General features: G+C 33.6%; 2 long non-coding RNA genes across 2 annotated transcripts in view; both read right to left on the reverse strand.

The window, feature by feature from the left end:
• Nucleotides 1-12858, reverse strand: part of LINC00375 (long intergenic non-protein coding RNA 375) — an 82971-nt gene extending 70113 nt beyond the window's left edge. The window contains exon 1 of the long non-coding RNA NR_126383.1: nt 12829-12858. This is a non-coding gene — a long non-coding RNA (long intergenic non-protein coding RNA 375). The remainder of the gene's footprint in view (nt 1-12828) is intronic.
• LOC105370291 (uncharacterized) overlaps nt 1-20197 on the reverse strand; it is a 93686-nt gene that overhangs the window by 23404 nt on the left and 50085 nt on the right. The window lies entirely within an intron of this gene.

Here is a 20197-nt window from a genome sequence, read left to right on the forward strand (position 1 = left end):
TCCCTGTATCTTCCCTCATCCCAGTTTCCCTGTGGCATAGTGGTGAAGCAAAGGCTATAGAAGACATTGGGGAGTTTTTCAGCAGACAAACTACCAGTGTTCCCTTTGCCATTTGTAGTCAGACTTTCAGGATCTTATCTTTACTAGCTTTTGGAATTAAATATATTTACATCTTTCCATAAACCATTAGGAATGCTGAAAATAACATATTCTTGACCTGTGATGTCAAATCATAAAACAGCTAGGTGTATACATGAGATAGGAAAAAAATTACATTGCTTTCTTCATTATGTCTTATTTAAATATTTATATTTGATAAAACTAAGCCCCATGTAATTATGTTCCATTATATCATTTTAGCAAAAATATGCTAATATATTTTGAAAGATATTATGTGCAAGACGCTATTCTTAGAATCTTCCTGTATTAAGCCACGAAATACACTCAGCAACTCAATGAGGAAGGATGTTATTATCCTCATTTTTCACATGAGGATCCTAACATGGAGAGATGCTGGGGGTGGGGAGTAATGGTACATTCAAGTCAATCTGCACAAAGTCCTACAAGATTTTCTAAAACTCAGGCTTCTGGGTCTGCCCTCTTGATTACTGCACTAGACTAAGGGTGAAGTTACTGAGACCAGTAAAATGAGACATATTTCTTTAATAGAAACATTTCAACTTATTTATTTGGAAAGAAATGGATGTAGCAACAGCATTATGCTGATTTGTCAGTCAAAGACCCCTTGCCTCCCCAATCCTAAACAGTGAATAAGTCTAGTCATTCTGTTTTCTTCAATTTTACTGTTAACTCTATATAAAAATTAGATTGAAATGTTAATTGTCATAATTTTACACTTAGTATTTATTACATTTTTTACTTAAGTAATTTGCAGGACCTATCAACATCATAAAAGAACTTTAAAATTTTAGAATGCAATGTATTCATTTTAAAAACTGATTTGTTTTAATATTACATATTGCTTCTATCTTATAATGATGTAAAATGTATTCACATGCAAAACAGTGATTGTGAACAATATGATATATGAAATTAAATAAGGAAGAAAAGTAATTGTTACTGGGTTCCTATTATATGTCAGGCACTTTTCACTGTAAGGTAGAGTGGATGAAGTAGTCATTTTATAATCTAATACACACACATATGCATATATATTAAAAGGGAGTATATATAATAAAAAAAGCATATATATACACATACATATATATAACACATACACACACACCCATACATATGTGTGTACATAAATGTTTTTAGACATATAAATACACATATACACATATATAGACATATATATACATACATATACATATATATACACATATCTATGTCTAAACCTGTAGAAAAAACATATATATGGGTGTTTTATATACACCATATATATATATATGTTTTTTCTACTGGTTTGCTTTATCTGGAGATCCCTGACTGATATAATAATTTAGCTTGCTATGTAAATCATATACAAAAATACATATGTGTGGATATATACATATACATATGTGTGGATATGCAAAATATCTTATGTGGGTCAGCATAAGAATCTCTCTCTATATATATAAAATACACATGTGTATTTATATAAACACATATGTATAGGTGTGTGTATATGTCATATATGTATGTGTGTGTGTGTGTGTGTGTATACTTACATATATATAGAGAGAGTGACTGATTTTGTTTATCTAGTGAAGGGTGGCAAGTTCAAAATCTGTAGATCACTCCAGCAGTCTGGACGCTCTAAGTCAGCTGATATTGCAGAAATTCTTATTTCTCAGGGAGCCTAAATTTTGTTTTCTAGACCTTTAACTAATTGGATGAGACCCACACACATTATGCAGACAATCCCCTTTATTTAAGTCAATTGATTGTGGAAGTTAATCATATCTACAAAATACCTCAATGCAAGACCAAATGAGTGTTTGAATGAATAAATGGGCACTATAACTTACCATCTTCATAGATTCAAGTAATGACCACACCCATTTTTCTTTATATGGAGGAATACATTTATTTATTTAAAACTATGTGCTCTCGTCTACCGTTATATTTCCATCACACCTTTGCTACACACTAAAAAGAAAACAAACTGGTGAAATACTTTTACAAATTAGTATCAGTTTTCCTTTTCTACTTCATATTCTTCTTTTATAATTTTCTAATGTGATTTTTTCTCTTCCTTAAGAGCAATAGCTTGCAAATCAAAGCTTGCAATCAAAGCTTCTGTTAAAAGAACTAAGCCACAGCAATTCTTTTGTAATTCTAAGGAAAAAAAAATGACAAGGATTTTGACAGTTTTACAAAAAGGCACATTACACCTTGTTCAGGCATCCTAATTTTTTCTTCTTAGATTAAACATAATTGGGACATTATTGCTTTAAACCATGCTTTTCTTGTCATATAACATTTAGGACTAGCCTGCTGTCTTTGTTCAGCAAGCTTTAAACATACAAAGATAAGATGTGATCTGCTCCATAATGACTAATTTTAACAATGAACTGTAGGAGGGTTAAATATAGGCATCAGCATGCCATTATATATAATCAGTAACAGTGGGTACAGTAAGAACATGGAAAATAGCTGGAGGATAGGTTTATTATAAGCATCGTGGCTTGAACAAAGTGGAAAGAATGTAATGTTTTGACTGATGGAGTCTCTCTATAAAGTGCCTATGGAGATAAAAAAGCTCAATTAGCTTCAATCTTGTCTACATCTTTAGTAGACATGCACACGGCTTTAGGGTTTGCCACAATAGAAAACAAAAGAAGAAACAACCTTCTAAATGTTATGAATAAAGTTGTTTTTTTGTAAGACAAATAAGTATGCTATTCATGTCAGAACATGATGTCTTTGAAGCAGCAATATTTGATAATATTCACAACCAAGTGAGGGTCATTCCCAGATTATGTTCATTTAAGTTTGAATTGTCTTTTCATTTGACATATAAGAATTGGATTCTCTTTAAATCTTTTTTGCAAAAATAATTGGCCGGCAATTCTAAAAGTTTTAAGCATTTCTAGTAATTTTGCTAATGCTTTCTTCCCTTAAAAAAATAATAAAACTAAGATAACTTTCAAAGAAACATATATTTTTGAAGAAAACCGAAATGAACAAACAAAAAACAGCAACATTCTGTATTTTTGTCACCTTAGCACCACTAGGCCTGCAGATAGTTCTGATGCTTAACACACGTTCTTTCTTCTGCATATCCTTGTGAAAGTCAATGATAGAGAAAGCTGCCTGATCTCTAATTCAACCCCCATGTCTATTGAATGATAGTCTTCCCTTTGAGTTGGTTTTGTAACTAACATTATGCTTTTAGAAATTCAGACTGTCTGACTTGGTACCCTCGCTTCAACATTTCCTAGCCAGGTGACCTTAGGAAGATTATTTAAGCACACTCTGCCTTAGTGTCATAATTTATAGAATAGAGAAATTTATAAACTCTAGCCACATAGAGTTTTTTGGAGTATTATTTTCTTCTTACCTTGAATTTATTCCACTTTAAGTTCCTTTAAGGTATTAAATATTTTGCTCTTTTAAGCAGTCCTAAATCCTTAGGAAAGTAGGTGCATCATAAATCATGGATGGCCTATTTCAGACTAGCTCTCTCCAAATCTGTGGATTAAGGCTATTCTTAGTTAGAGTCCTATCAGATGTTTTTTTCTGCTTTCTTGAAGTAGCTTCTTCTTCACTATTTTATGTCAATATTGTTAAACAATAGCTGATACATTCTAACAGTTATTATGTGATGGGCATCATTCTAAGAACTTTTTCCCATCTTATAATAAACATATGAGTAAATACCTTTTTATCAGTTTTTTAAAGATGAAGCAACTAATGCTTATATGCTAATACCACTTGCCTAAAGACACATGGTTAATAAATTGAAGAAAGAAAATGTTATTCAAGCCAATCAGGCTCTGCAACTTCCTGTCTTTAAAAGATTCTGTAGCAAAGTCTTCATAGCTGTTTATGACATTATATATTTCCTCTTCTTCTTTTATAATAAAATGTTTTATTTTTATCTGGGCTAATGGTGACCTAAAATAAGATAGCACTCCCCACTTCCATCTTGCATATCAAATGGCCATGTGATAAGTTCTGCCCTGTTAGACAAAAGCAGACGTGTCATGTGATATCAATCAAATTTCTCAACAGAGAAGTGTTAAAATCTTACCTTCCTCTGACTTTCTGTCTGTGCTATGTAATAAAGTTTTGTGATCCTAAATGTATCAAAATGGAGTTACTTATGACAACTGACTCAGCCCACAGTGGAACTGCCGACCCCTCAAAGTGAAAAACATGAATAATGGACTGAGGCAATGATAATGCCTGCTGTGCCCAGGCACCCCCAAGACCAAACAAGAAAGTGAAGCTAAAAGGTGGCTTACATAATGACCATGGACATTCCTATGGAGGGCCATAACACATCAAAGAAACCAATCATGGCCAGGATGCCTGCAGACGCTCTGCCCATGAAAACTCTGAGGCCTCCTCTCCTCAGACGCCACAGAAAACTCTTCTTTGAAAGAGCAGTGAACCCCCTCCCCAAGCCCTGTCAGCATGTCATGGGAAATCCAGAGCTGCCCAGCTCATCACTCAGTGTGCTGCTCTCCCATGCTACTTGCTGGGGCTTGTTACCCCTCCTCTTATTACTGACTGTGTCGGGTGAATGTGTACACGATTGGTGGTGTGTAAAAGTCTTTCAATAAACCTTCAATTCTAAAGCATTTCATTGGCAACTGATATGGTTTGGCTCTGTGTCCCCTCCCAACCCAAATCTCACCTTGAATGATAATAATCCTCGCATGTCGTGGGAGGGACCTGGTGGGAGGGAATTGAATCATGGGGGCAAGTTTTTCCTGTTCTGTTCTCATGATAGTGAATGAGTCTCAGGAGATCTGATAGTTTTATAAAAGGGCAGTTCCCCTGCTCATGCACTCTTGCCTGCGACCATGTAAGACATAACTTTGATCCTCTTTCACCTTCCACCATTATTTTGAGGCCTCCCCAGCCATGTAGAACTGTGAGTCAATTAAACCTCTGTTTCATTATAAATTACCCAAGTCTTGGGTATGTCTTTACTAGCAGCATGAAAATGGACTAATATAACATCTGAGTCATTGTGAGGAGTTACCACAACCAGGCTGATTGAAACCTGACAGGAGAGTCTGGAACAAGAATGCAATGGGTGGAGCTTTAGGATTGTTAACCAAAAAGTGACCAAGCCAGATGCCTCGAATGAAAGAGGTTTGTTTAGTCAAAGACTGAAGATGCAATGGGGAAAACACAAGTTCAGGAGCCTCTGTGACCTGTGCTTTTTCCAAAGAGGTTTTTGGGGACTTCCATATTTAAAGGGGAAAGAGTAGGCAGGAGGGCAAAAAAGAAGGTAGGCATGAGGCAAATGGTTACATTATTGTGAGGTTCTGATTAGGGCTCAGTAAATCTGCAATTTACATGTGAAAAGAGGGAGCAGAGGAAAAAGTCAATTATGCATTTGCCTGGTACTCAGTACATCTACATTTTACATAAGATAAGGATGTGAAAAGAGGGAGTAGAGGAAAGTCAATCATGCATTCCTCTCAGTGTAGTTGGAAGGATGATTTCTGATCTTGTTCTTGTCCTGTACCTATGAAGATAAGCTAGTAATTGACATCGTCAGGGTGAGATTCAACAGAACTCAGTTTCAGGGCTAGTTTATAGGTGGGATATGGATCTTGAAAGATTTCTGAGGGAGGGCATCGAGGGAGATATGTGACCTTCTACTATTGTGGGAACCTGGCTTATGGATGAGACTATGACATACATGAGGCTAACAACACAAGGGTTGTTAAATGACAGCTATCTGTCTGGGAACAAAAGGAAAGTAGTATTGCATGACTCAGTTCCCAAGCTTAACTTTCCCTTCAGTATATGTGAGTTTGTGTCCCAAAGATTCGATTTTCTTTCACAGTATTTATCTTGGCCCATAAGGTGGGAGCCAATGTTTAGGAATGTCAGAGTAAAACAGATGGAAGGAAACAAATTATATGGAACTTAGTGTCATCATCTACCTATATGAAGATTCTCTTTATGTGAAAAAATAAGATATTGTTAATTAATAACACTGACTTTATCTATTACATGCAATCTAATAAAGTTCTGATAGAATGCTTTACATTTGGTCTGAAAAAAATTAGATCTGACAAGGCACATATGAACTGCAGACATGCTTTGCTTGGGCCAGACACTCTTTTTAAAAAAAAACAGTATTTCACATGAAGTTCCAGATTTTAGGCTACTCCTGGGATATTATATCCAGCAACACTGAAATAAGCATGCATTTTATTGTGCAGCCCTGTGTGCCAGCTTTCTGCGTCTTTCATTCACTTGCCTTTCTCTTAAGCCTTGAAAGTGTCTGCCAATTGAATACAGCTGTCGTTGCTGTTGCTGTATCAGCATGGGGTCACTTCTTTGTGCAACTTGCTTTAATGTGCTACTTTGGATTAATACCCCCAAATAGTGCTAACTAAAAATAATCTATCAGAATCACTAATGATTTCAAAATATGGAATAGAGTGCATTTGTTTGTTCAAGAAGATCTAATATAGATAAAATATTCCTCAAAAGTGAAAAGTGTGAGTAAAAAATGCAGGGATATAAAATGCCTCCACTTTTCTTTGAAAAGTAAATCATTATTTCTATGCACTATGCCTACATATTGGGCTCACAGCAGTCCAATAGGAGTTGTATCTAATTAGATTTTCTATATGCATAAAACGCATTTTAAAAACCTGTGACATAAGACATATCCCACTAGCTTGTAACCATGCTATAGAAAGACAATGATTTATTAAGAATATAGCACATAAATTGCTTTAATTATACTTAGAAGCAGCATGATACCCAAGTTCTAAAAAGGAAAAAGGATAGCAGTGTCCTAGAATGAAATTTAAATATGATTAACTTCTTCAAGACTCATTCATAGTTGTGTCTACTCTTGTTTGTTTTCAGATACTCTTTAAGAAAAGTTAACTTCCCCCTAACCACTCTCATTTAACTGCTCTTCCTGGTAGCTGTTATTAATTTGATAATAGGGACTCCAAGTCTATGCAAACCATTTCCATACTATGTTTTAGATAACAAGGGAACAATTTGCATAGGTTGAAAAATTTGTGAAGTGCTTTCACAAGCATTAATGCCTTTGGTTGTCATAAAAATAGTGAGTACTTGGAAGTGTTTATTTCTCATGATAAGGAAATATTTCCGTAAACATAGTCCCTTCTCAACTGGCTTTGATTTACTCTTCTACATGCTAGACAAAAATTTCCTTCAAATGCCATTATCATACAGCTCACCACTTAGAGCACTTCAGTATAATTGCATCTCAAGAGTGAAAGGCTTTTAGCGATTTATGTTTAAGAATTAGCTATGGGGAAATTTTTCTTATTTAAACACATATTAAAGCTAGAACATAGCTTTTTCCTTTTGTGGGCTGGATGACTTTCTTGCAGCCAACTAATGAGGCACTTTTTTATAAAGACTACATCAATCTTTAATATAGCTTATCTTGATCCTAGAGGTGAAGATAAAAAGATATTAAGTGGTTCAACCAGCTTCTTTATTATAGCTGTAAATTTAAGGAAATGCATGTTGCCATAAAAAGGAACAAGGAAAATAACCTTACATTTGTGAAAATATATTGAGTTGCCACAAAATAAGAACTCAGCATGAACTGATGATAACATAAATGATTTGAGGTTTGCAATGGAGATACAGCTTTTATATGGTACACATTTTATCGTAGAATAAGACAAAACATATCCTAAAGCCCACTACTTTTGGAGAAAGGTAACACAAAGCCGTTATCATTCACTGGCAATAAGCAATGAGCATTTGATTGTAATGATACACTCAAGTCATCCAAAAGAAAAGTAAAAACATGAAAATAAATTGAAAGAGAAAAAAATTGAAAGAATAGTTGAGACATTTTAAAAAAGGAGAGAAGAGAAAAAGACTGAGAATAGATGTAGATGTTTTAGAGTAAGGGTTAGCCAAGCCATTAAAAAGAGAGTCACTGAATATTAAAACTATGCACTTAGTTCATATTTTGTGAAAGTTTTGAAATACACATTTTAAAAAGCATGCAATCTTTTCAAAAACAGTGGTTATTTTTCACTGAATAAAGTAATAGTACATATGTAATTTTTCTAAAATTATAGGAAATTTTTCCCAAAACATTATTTATTTATTTTTATTATTTATTTATTTATTTTGAGATGGAATCTTGCTCTGTTGCCCAAGCTGGAGTGCAGTGGTGTGATTTCAGCTCACTGCAACCTCAGCCTCCTGGGTTCAAGCGGTTCTCCTGCCTCAGTCTCCTGAGTAGCTGGGGCTACAGGTGCATGCCACCACACCCAGCTAATTTTTGTATTTTGGTGGAGACAGGATTTAACCATGTTGGGAAGGCTGGTCCCCAACTCCTGACCTCAAGTCATCTGCCCACCTCGGCCTCCCAAAGTGCTAGGATTATAGGCTTGAGCCACCATGCCCAGCCTATTTATTTTTGAACATTAGAAAAAATATAATGTGATTATAGAGTTCTATAAAGCAGGGTTTTGAGGTTAATGGAGTTGTGGATATCCTGTTAAGCAAAAAAATGTATTATGTTTTCAATTTATACATACAAATAATAGATGTAAATGGACTAAACTGATGAGCAGAGGGATAGACTAATAGAGTAGAAGAGATTCAAAAACGTTGAGAATTAGAGAGATGACTGTAGTTTAAGAGATGCCTGTTCTATCTGAGGCACCACTATGCTCAAAATGACTTTATATCTATACACAAACTGATGGTGAGCATGATAATAATGAAGATTCAAATGACTGAGTTATAGAGACTATTCATTTATTTATACATTCAACCAGCTAAGCATTCTAGAGTCTATTTTTCCCCATATGAAGCAGAGGATGATCACTGCTGTTCTAATCCAAAGAATAAAAATTGTAATTATTTATAAGGAGCAGATAATCCAGCTCTGATTAAAATTATTGAACTACAATCCTCCTTTGGTACCTGTGGGGAATTGTTTCCAGGATATTCTGCACATACCCAAATCTGCAGGTACTCTAGTTCCTGCTATAAAATAGCATCATATTTGCATATAACCTATGCATATCCTTCTGTATGCTTTAAATAATTTTTAGATTACTATAATAATCTATAATTATTTATAATAAACTTAATATAGTTGTTATACTGTATTGTTTAATACAGTATACTGTATTAAATAGTTGTTATACTGTATTGTTGTTATACTGTTGTTAATAGTTGTTATACTGTATTAATAGTTGTTATACTGTATTGTTTAGGAAATAATGACAAGAAAAAATCTGTACATATTCAGTACAGACACAATTTTTTGAACATATACATGTATTTTTAGATTCAGGGAATATATGTATGGATTTGTTACATGAATATTTTGTGTAATCCTGGGGTTTGGACTTCTATTGAACACACCGGCCAAATAGTAAACATAATACCCAGTAGGTAGTTTTTAGTCCTTGTCCCCCTTCTTCTTTACCGCTTTTTGGAGTCTCTACTGTTGATTAGTGGTTGATTAAATCCATACACAGGAATCCACAAACACAAAAGGCAAACTGTATTCTAAAAGAGAATGTTGTATTAGCAAGAATAAAGGACTTGCTCATGTAAATGCCTCTCACCACTCAAAGATCAAATGTGAAACTCAAATATACCTGTTTTTGGTGTCATAATAAACATATTCTCATACTTAATTTAAGATTTTGAATTTGGCATAGAAATTATATCAATCATGATGTCAAGATTTAATATTTAATATTAAGTAAAATAAATTACAAATTACCACATGATTCCATACTTAAGAAAATGTTGCTTCTCTTTAAAATTTGATATTAAAATTTGATAAAATAAAGTATTAAAATTTGATAAAATAAAAAAATAAACTGAACTGAAATACTTTATTCAATGCATTTTTGACTGGAAATATATTTCATAAATAAAATGTTTGAAAATACTATACCAAAATATCTTCATATTATTTCTATTGAGAGAACAATTTTTATGGAATTTTACCTTATAGCATAATTTCAAAGAGATTATCTGTAATTTATCTTTGGTCCAAACATATAGATTTTTCTGAATGTAAAATATATATATATATTTTTTGAGACAGAGTCTCGCTCTGTTGCCAGACTGGAGTGCAGTGGTGCGATCTTGGCTCACTGCAACCTCCACATCCCGAGTTCAAGGGATTCTCCTGCCTCAGCCTCCCGAGCAGCTGGGACTACAGGCGCCCGCCACCACGCCCGGCTAATTTTTGTATTTTTAGTAGAGACAGGGTTTCACCATGGTGGCAAGGATGGTCTCGATCTCTTGACCTTGTGATCTCCCAGCCTCGGCCTCCCAAAGTGCTGGGATTACAGGCGTGAGCCACTGCACTTGGCTGTAGTTCAATTTTTTTGAGCCATAATATGATTTTAGAGACTAATGTCATAGCAAAATTTTAAAATGATAATTATTTTCATTGATTTTACAATATGCTCACACAAATATTGTTTGGTTTTGTGGTTGCAATAGATTCTTTTATAAAGAAGCTTCTGTTCACAGATGTGTTCACACAATCCTGCCCATTTAATAGTGAATTTAGTTAATTAAAATTATGTACTCTTACTCTTTTAGTTATGTTCAATAACTGGTTCAAACATCTGTAAAATGTTAATTAAATTTGACATGTTTTTAAAATAACTATGCTGATAAGTTTACAGAGCATTTTTATAATTCTAATAGAGAACTTACTGATTGCACATAAATGATGGGATTACCTAGGAACAATCTGAGTTATTTGCTTACAATTTATTTTTTTGCTATACACTGTTTCATTAAATTTTAACAACAGTAACTCTGAGAGGTAGTTATGATTCACTCCATTTCCAACTGATAGTCAAATGTCAAGGCTATGTCCTCAGTCAGCCTTATATCTGGGAACAGGAACAGAGACCTCCAGTCTCCAATCCAATATTTCTCCACTTCACTTTGCTTATACAGTGAAACTGATTAAATGATATATGCATGATTTTGTCTCTAAAAAGTTGCACTTAATTAAGCAATAAAATATCTTCATAAGAAACAAAAGACTATCATCGAGTGTACAAAATTGTTACATTGTCCAATAAATCAGTAGTTACCAAAATTTTTAATTATTTGCATCACATCAGAGCATGAAAATGATACATCATTTATTAGAGAATACACTCCTCCAACACACACATAAATACTTGCAAAAATAAAGATATTTTTATTCTGTTAAAGTTTAATATCGATTTCTGTTTTATGACTTCCAAATTTTTTGTCTAAAAAGAAAGTAATAAAATATTCAATCTATCATTCAACATATGTGAGTGTTTATGCAGTTAAAGAAAATGAGCACACAGTAACTTGTGAACAAATCCAAGCTACTGCCTTACATACAAAATTAAATTCACCAGGGTAAAGTAGAATGGAGAGTTAAATATGGTAATATAATCTTTCTTTCTCTACTTTCTCCACACTCCCTCATCCTATTCTGTCATCCTTTCTTCCTTTCTTTTTTCTTAGTCCTTCTTTTCTTCCTTTTTTCTTGCCTTCGTTATTTCCTTCCTTTTTTTATTATTCTTACTTTTGCAGGTGTTTTGAAAAGCAAATGTATTTGCTTCTACTTTTCACGTTTCAATTCTATAACTTCTTTAAAATAAAATGTTACCCATTTCTCATGAAAGTAAATTTAATTTTTATTACATTAATTTTATTTATTTATTTATTTATTTTGAGACGGAGTCCTGCTCTGTCGCCTGGACTAGAGTGCAGTGGCGCTATCTCGGCTCACTGCAAGCTCCACCTCCCAGGTTCACGCCATTCTCCTGCCTCAGCCTCCCGAGTAGCTGGGGCTACAGGCGCCCGCCACCACACCCTGTTATTTTTTTGTATTTTTTAGTAGAGATGGGATTTCACTGTGTTAGCCAGAATGGTCTCGATCTCCTGACCTCGTGATCCGTCCACCTCAGCCTCCCAAAGTGCTGGGATTACAGGAGTGAGCCACTGTGTCTGGCCATATATTAATTTTAATTACGTAAAAGCTAAAGTTTAAAAAAAAAAAAGCAACTGCCATCCCAGAACCTGTAGATAAACATTTTATATATATACATGCATAGATAGATATATGGATAGGATACACAGATAGTGAGAAATGAAAAGAGGATCATACATTATTTCATTACTCTGTAATTTGTTTTTATCTATATTAATAGGAACTATTCTAAACATCACTTAAAATAGCAATGCTAAGTATGCAGCCATTTAACTGATCCATTATTGCAAAAATTCAAAATGATTCTTCTTGTTAACCACATTGCGATGGCCATTACTATAATTACATATATGTGCACATGCATTCTCATGTCTTTAAAGACCTAACAATAGACAGTTTTGGTCAGATTAAAATAAAACGTGGTATTTAATATCTATTTTCAGATTGGTATCCTGAAAGTTGTACCAATTTACCATCTCTGTCATTCATGAGAATGTCCAACCAAAAACTGTTCAGAATTTTGAGTGGTATTATCACATACTATACTCTCACTAAATATGTCACAGTGGTGCACAGGTTCTGAGACGGTCCTCAGTGATCCCTCTCATGGTATTCAGGCAAGATGGATAATCCCCACCCCTTCAGTGTGGGCTACATCTAGTGACCCACTTCTCTGGAATAGAATAGTGCAAAAGTGATTGTATGTGACTTACTAGGTTACCAAAACACCATGGCTCTCATCTTGCTAGCATTTTCTTACACATTCTCTCTTGCTTGCTGTGCTGAACCCAGCTGCCATGTGTTTCCTGCCCTATGGAGAGGTACATGCTGCAAAGAACTAGGACAGCCAGCAAGGATTCGAGGCCTTTGTTCCAACAACCCGAAATGGAATCTTGCCAACAAATGCATGAGTGAGCTTGGAAGCTAATCCTCCCTGCTTAAGCTTGAGCTGACTGCAGTCCTGGCTGATACCTTGATTGCAGCCTGTGAGACCCCGAACAAGAGGACCAAGGAAAGTCACACTCAGATTCCTCACCCAAATAAACTATGACATCGTGTTTGTTATTTTAGGGTCTAAGTTCTAGGGGTTATTTGTTACACAGAAAAAGATAAATAATACAGTTGTCGAAAAACAAGAAACTTTTTTTAAAATGATTTTGAGATTTATTTAAAAGTTTTAACTTTTATACATGTTTCCTTTTATTTCTGATTTACTAATAAATTTTCATAGTTCTGCTTTCTTGGATTAATTTATAAAATGAATAATTTCTACTATATTTTCAACTACCTTTCTGATATTTCACCTAAATCATAAAATGTTTCTCCCAGTATTTATTATCATAATAAAATATCTTAGCTGTAATTTCAACAATGTGAGGTTGCATACAAATTTCAGTTACATAGATAATTAATCTGTAATTTAATAATGTGGCTTAATGAATTTTATAATTTAATGTTTAATTTTTTACTGTTTATTTAAAATTTTAATTTTATGAATTATAACATGTTAAACTCATGTGCTGTTAAGAAACAACATTTTAAAATGTGTTTGTATATGTATTTGTATGTGTATAATTGTCACAATTGCAAAAACAAATAATTATCGGGAGAATGTGAACAGCATTTGTATATACCTAGATGGTCAGATTGTGAATGATGTTATATTTTTTGTCCATTTTTAATGTCTATTTTTAAAATTTTGACAATATGTATGCAATGTGTCAGACCAAAAAACATAACAACAAAATTAAAACGTAAATAAGGAAGGCTACAAACAATCTGTTTATTTTGTTTTATATTTTATTTTATTTATTTATTTTTTTCCAGTCAGGGTCTCGCTCTGTTGCCCAGGCTCTGCAGTGTTGTGATCTTGGCTCACTGCAGCCTCAACCTCCCAGGCTCATGCAATCCTCCCACCTCATCCTCCCAAGTAACTGGGATTACAGGCCTGTGCTGCCATGCCCAGCTGACATATATATATATATATATATATATATATATATTTTTTTTTTTTTTTTTTTTTTGTAGAGATGGTGTTTTACCATGTTGCCCAGGCTGGTCATGAACTCCTGAGCTCAAGCGATCCGCCCACCTCAGCCTCTCAAACTGCTGGGGTTACAGGTGTGAGCCACCACACCCAGCCAAACAATCATTTTAAAATTTCTTATTAAAGCATATCTTTTTTCATATAATTTTCCTATAAATGATTCCTACAAAAGTATTTCCAGAGTCCAAATTATAAATATGTATGGAACTGTAATTTAATGTCTGATGTATTAAAAGATGTGTATTCCAGAATACATATGTGTATATATATATATATATATATATATATATCTTTAAAATTTTTTTTTTTTTTTTTTTACTGAATTGACAAATTTTTTGTTTATTAGTTTGTGTTTTAGAGATGGGGGTCTCACTATGTTGCCCAAGCTGGACTCAAGCTTCTGGGCTCCACCAATTCTCCTTCCTCAGCCCCCCTAGAAACTGGGTCTACTGAGCTGAGTAATCTCAGCTGCAGTAAATATACTCCTCATTATAGCACAAATTTAAAACTTAAGGCATTAAACATGGTTTTAAAAATCTTAGATATTTTCATGTAAGAGAAAGAATTCACATTACTATTTTAAGTCACATTTATATGACCACTTATGATTTATAACATATTTTTAAAACTTTTTGGCCACATTTCCTTTTTCTCTTGCCCAAATATATATTAAGTATGTAGTAGGCTATTTTAATATGTATTCCATTACAGTCTTTTTAGGATTTTTATTTTAGCATTGTTATTCAAGTGATACTGTTTTATTATTGTTTTTCTATTAATTTCTTCAATCTTTAGAGTCACACATTGAATATTTTAATAAATGAACTGAATGTTTCTTTTCCTAGAATCTTGAACGCTATAAAAACTCAAATTATCTACTTTTTGAATTTACTTTTTGATATTTCAATTAATACAAGATTACTGATCTGTTTCAGTTTTTCTGCTTTGTTTCTGTAACCCTTTAGTTATTTCTGCATCTTATGAAGATGTACAATATATACATTTATTTTTTAATGCTTTATTTCATCTTATGGTTGTCATTTTGTTTGTGTTTATATTTGAGTTTTTAGATTTTTTTTTCCTGTCTTATCCACTCTTACCTCCCATCATTTCTATTTGGAAATGTGCCATTGCTTTCCTATTTTGCTGCAAATTGGAAAGCATAGCTAGGGGTTTTCATTATTTTTGATGCTTCAGTTTTGTTTTAACTTGGGTTAGCAGAATTTAATTATAAGCTATGTTCCAACGATTGCATATGTAAGATGTTTAAATTAAAAAAATGCTTCTTACAATTATTAAAAAAATGCTTCTTACAATTATATTAGACTATAGAATTTTTCTACTAACATTGTCATGAACCTTATTCTTTATTTTGTGGCATTTATTATTTATGAAGGGAAATATGAGGTAAGTTTAATGCTTATTTTTCTACAAGTATACTTTTTTATTGCTTCTATTATTTTAGAATAATTTTAATATTATTTACATGAAATTTCTATGCCATTTCAATAATGGTTTCACAAAGATGATTATTTAATGGTTGACTCAGACCTATTGTTAGGTGTTAATAATAGAAGTCTTTTACCAAGCACTTATTATTTTTTAGGTATTGTATTACAGCAGTCATGTTCCAGATGTGTTCCACTGACCATCACTGGTCCATGATCTTTGTTTTGGTCAATGAAAGTGTATGCACAAAAATTGAATATAACATTTGAAAATTGCACAGAAACTTGGCCAGCTTGGTGGCTGTCTCCTGTAATGCCAGCACTTTGAGAGTCTGAGGCGGGTGGATCACTTGAGCCCAGGAATTTGACGCCAGCCTGGCCAACATGGCGAAACCTTGTCTCTACTAAAAATACAAAAATTAGCCAGCCATGGTGTGGGGAGCCTGTAATACCAACAACTCCAGAGGCTGAGGCAGGAGAATTGTTTGAACCAGCGAGGGGAGGTTGTAGGGAGCCGAGATCGTGCCAATGCACTCTAGTCTGGGTGACAGAGTGAGCCTCTGTCTCAAAAAATAATAATAATAAAATAAAATACTTAAAAAATTGTATGGTAACTTGACACAAAAAAATTACAGATTGAATATTTAAATAATCTTTAGATAACAAAACAACAGATTTAGAAAAAATTTGTTCTACTTCCATCTCATATTTCTTTTCCATTGTCATAGTACTGTCTTAGACTTATGCTTATACATAAAATATAAAGTTATTATGTGTCCACATTAGGTAGGTCACTGGAAATCCAAAGATAATTTAGAATGCATGTGTAAGTAATCTCCTGTCTGCATGCTTCTCGCTTTTTTTTTTGCCTTGAACTCTTACGCCCCGTTAATATATGACTCTTTGCTCTCTTTCCTCAAAGTGCTTGTGTTCAATATTAAATACTTTCAATAAAATGCTTTTCATTAAAATAATAAATAAATTTTCATAAGATTTTAATTGACCAAATTGACTTTAAACCTTATTTTTAGTAGGGAAACTTCTTTTTCAAACAAAACCTCAAACTAATCTCTAATAAGAAGCTGAAGTGCATTCATCTATCAAGTTACAGTACTGGTGATGAGCCCTTCCTTCCTACCTTCCTTCCTTCCTTCTTTCCTACCTTCCTTCCTTCCTTCCTTCCTCCTTCCTTCTTCCTTCCTTTCTCCTTCCTTCCTTCTTCCTTCCTTTCTCCTTCCTTCCTTCTTCCTTCCTTTCTCCTTCCTTCCTTCTTCCTTCCTTCCTTTCTCCTTCCTTCTTCCTTCCTTTCTCCTTCCTTCCTTCTTCCTTCCTTCCTTTTTCTTGCTCTGTTGCCCAGGCTGAAGCAAGCTATCCTCCTCCCTCAGCCTCTCAAGTAGCTAGTACCACAGGAATGCACCACCACACCTGGCTAATTTTTAATTTTTGTTGTTGTTGTTGTTGTTTGTTTGTTTTTGTTTTGTGGAGATGGATTCTAACTATGTTTCTCAGGCTGATGTCTCAAACTGCCTGACTCAAGCAATCCTCTCACCTTGGCCTCTAAATTGCTGGGATTACAGGTAGAAGCCATGATTCCCAGCCTCAACATTTCTGCTGATTTATTAGTTTTTCTTTATTTTCGTTGCCAAAGAAACACTCACAAAATCACACCACATCATACATATTCTGTTTCCATACATACAACACCACCAGCATGGCTAACAACATCTAGGACTCTGAAAACTGTTTCTAAACAGTTTTTACTTTACTATATATGATATACTCTTAACCTCCAGGGGTAAGTTGCGTGTGGTGGTGATGTAGGACCATGAAACATGAATGGGACCACAGACCAGGTTTGCCACAAACAACCGCATTCTGCATTTGTACAGTCTGCTAAAATTACTGTATTTACAATATTTTGAGATAATTATTCGAGTTTATAAATATGTGAAAATTCTAGGCAGATATTAGGTGGTCATATACAAAGATGACTGGTGAAGATTAGCATAATATAAGATCTGTGGCTTTAAATAAACTTTTAATTTAAAATAGTCTTACGTTTGATGGAAAATTGCAAAAATAGAAAAGTATCTATACAATACATACCCAGTTATTTTTAATGACTATTATCATTATTGATATTTTACATCCATTATTAACATCTCACATTAGCATGGTACGCTTGTTACAATTAATGAACCAGTATTGAAATATTAGCAGTAATTAGTGCCTCTACTGTATCAGATATCCTTAAGATTTACCTAATGTCGTTTTACTGACCCATTCAGGACACTACATGACATTTAGTTGCTTTGATTCCTCAAGTTTATACTGGGTATAACAGTTTCTCAGAATTGCTTATTTTTGGTGATCTTGACAGTTTTATGAAATTCTGGAGAGATAATTTGTAGAATGCCCCTCAATTGGAACTTATCTATTATTTTCCTCATGATTAAATTGAGCTTATGTGTTTTGAGGAGGCAGACCACGAAAGTGACGTGTTCTTTTATCACTTGTATCAACAATATTAATACCTATTATCACCAAAACTTATCACTATTTATGTTAACCTTCATCACCTTCAACCTGGTTGATGTAGTGTTTCTTTGTTAGGTGTCCCGCTGCTAATTACACTTGTGATTCTTCCCATTTCCATATATTCTTTGAATGCAAGTCACTATACACGCCCATAGTTAAGGAATCGGGAGTTATAATCCACCTCCTTGATAGCAGAGTATCTACCTAAAGTATTTGGAGTATTTCTGCACTGAAGACTGTCTCTTCTTCATATATTTATTCAATAATTTACATCAGTGTGGATTCATGGATATTTATTTTATGCTTTTTACTTAATCCAGTATTACTTTGTTTTGCTTCTCAAAATTCATCCAGCTTCCACCATTGACAGCTTTCTTTTGGCTCCTGTGCCCCTTTGACATACCATATCATTGTGTGTATATGTTTGTTTTGTTTTGTTTTCTGAGTAGTTTCTGCTTTATGACATGAGAAGATGCTCCAGGATCATTTTGTATATTACTTGCAGTAGTCTGAGACTGTCATTTCTCTATAGAGTCCTATGTCTCCTCCTTGGATCATGGTATAATAAATCAAAATCCTGGCATCAGGTTTGTTGCTACCACTTTCCCGTTGTTGCTAGCCCCTCACCTAACAGAGCAAGGAATAGATTTTCACACACACACAGACATATTTATATCCACACACACATATATGAAAATGTGTGTATAGAATATATGTACATGAGTTTGTGTGTGTGAATATATATACGAACATGCACACACACATACATATTTAGGTATTTATGTATTAACCCATGTTTATACCCATATTTATAGGAACATGCAAATCTATTTCTACATATAATTATGTATATTTATGTTAAATTACATAGTTCATATTAAAATCTCCATTTCTAATCAATTTCCAAATAATTCTAGTCTTCTTCTCAGTTTTGTCTATAATCTTTCACTTCAACAGTAAAAAACTTGTTTCCCACCATCCACCATCGGTTAACGTAAATGTTCAGTTTCAGTATAGATGCATAGCAGTATCAGAATTGCTAAGCCTTTTCCTTGGGGGAGATAACTTTACCAAATAGAATGCTTATGTTCAATTCCTTTAGTATTTAATATTATATATGCCACTTGTTTCCAAAGTCACTTAGGTGAGTGTCTTTTTCCCCACTTCTTTTAGTGAGGCCATTTCATATACTTACAGTTTTTTTTTTTAATTCTAAATGCCATCCTGGAATCCCTTCTATCTAAACTTCTTTGAAAATTTGTATGAATTAAGACGTTCTTTGAGCTGTAAAATTTTATGCGTTTTGTCTAATGTATCATATCATGTATCCACTATTATAGTGTCATACAGAATAGCTGCATTACCCTTAAAAAATACTCTATACTTTCCGTGTTCAACTTTACTACCCCCTAATAATCTCTGATATTTTAATGTTCTTTTTAAAAATCATATACTAGGAATGATTATGTAATTTTTTTCAGTCTGGATTATTTCACTCACTAATATTTACTTAAGATTCACCCATACCGTTGTGTTGTTAGATAGCTCATTTCTTTTTATAGTTGAGCAGCATTACATTGTTATGTATCTGTTTTGTTTTGTTTATTCATTTAGTTCCCTGATGCACCCCCCAAAAGTACTCTATTTTCAGTTTGTTTAGCTTTTTCTTATTGTAAGAATGGAAATGGCAGCTTCCAAGCTCTTTCCATGTTGGAGGTAAAAACAGAAGTCATACATACCTGTTTTGTGTGTGTGTGTGTGTGTGTGTGTGTGTCTGTTTCAATAGAAAATCTAGATAATGCAGAAAAAACTAAGATATAAAAAGCACAGAATCGAATTCTGTTCTGATATTATCACATTATTCCAAAGTGATCATAATAAAAGGAATACACAGACATATATATGACTTCAAAAATAAACTCCTACTATTGTAACAGGAGGAGAAATGTAGATTATAAGGAAGTTTCATCTCAGACAGTGCACAGAAACGGTATAAAGAAGCAAGTTTATTTTAGTACTTTAAAGAATAGTTATGTTAAAGCCACAAAT

The sequence above is a fragment of the Homo sapiens genome, chromosome 13 (genome assembly GCF_000001405.40).
Source record: "Homo sapiens chromosome 13, GRCh38.p14 Primary Assembly".
In the NCBI taxonomy this organism is placed as follows: Eukaryota; Metazoa; Chordata; class Mammalia; order Primates; family Hominidae; genus Homo; species Homo sapiens.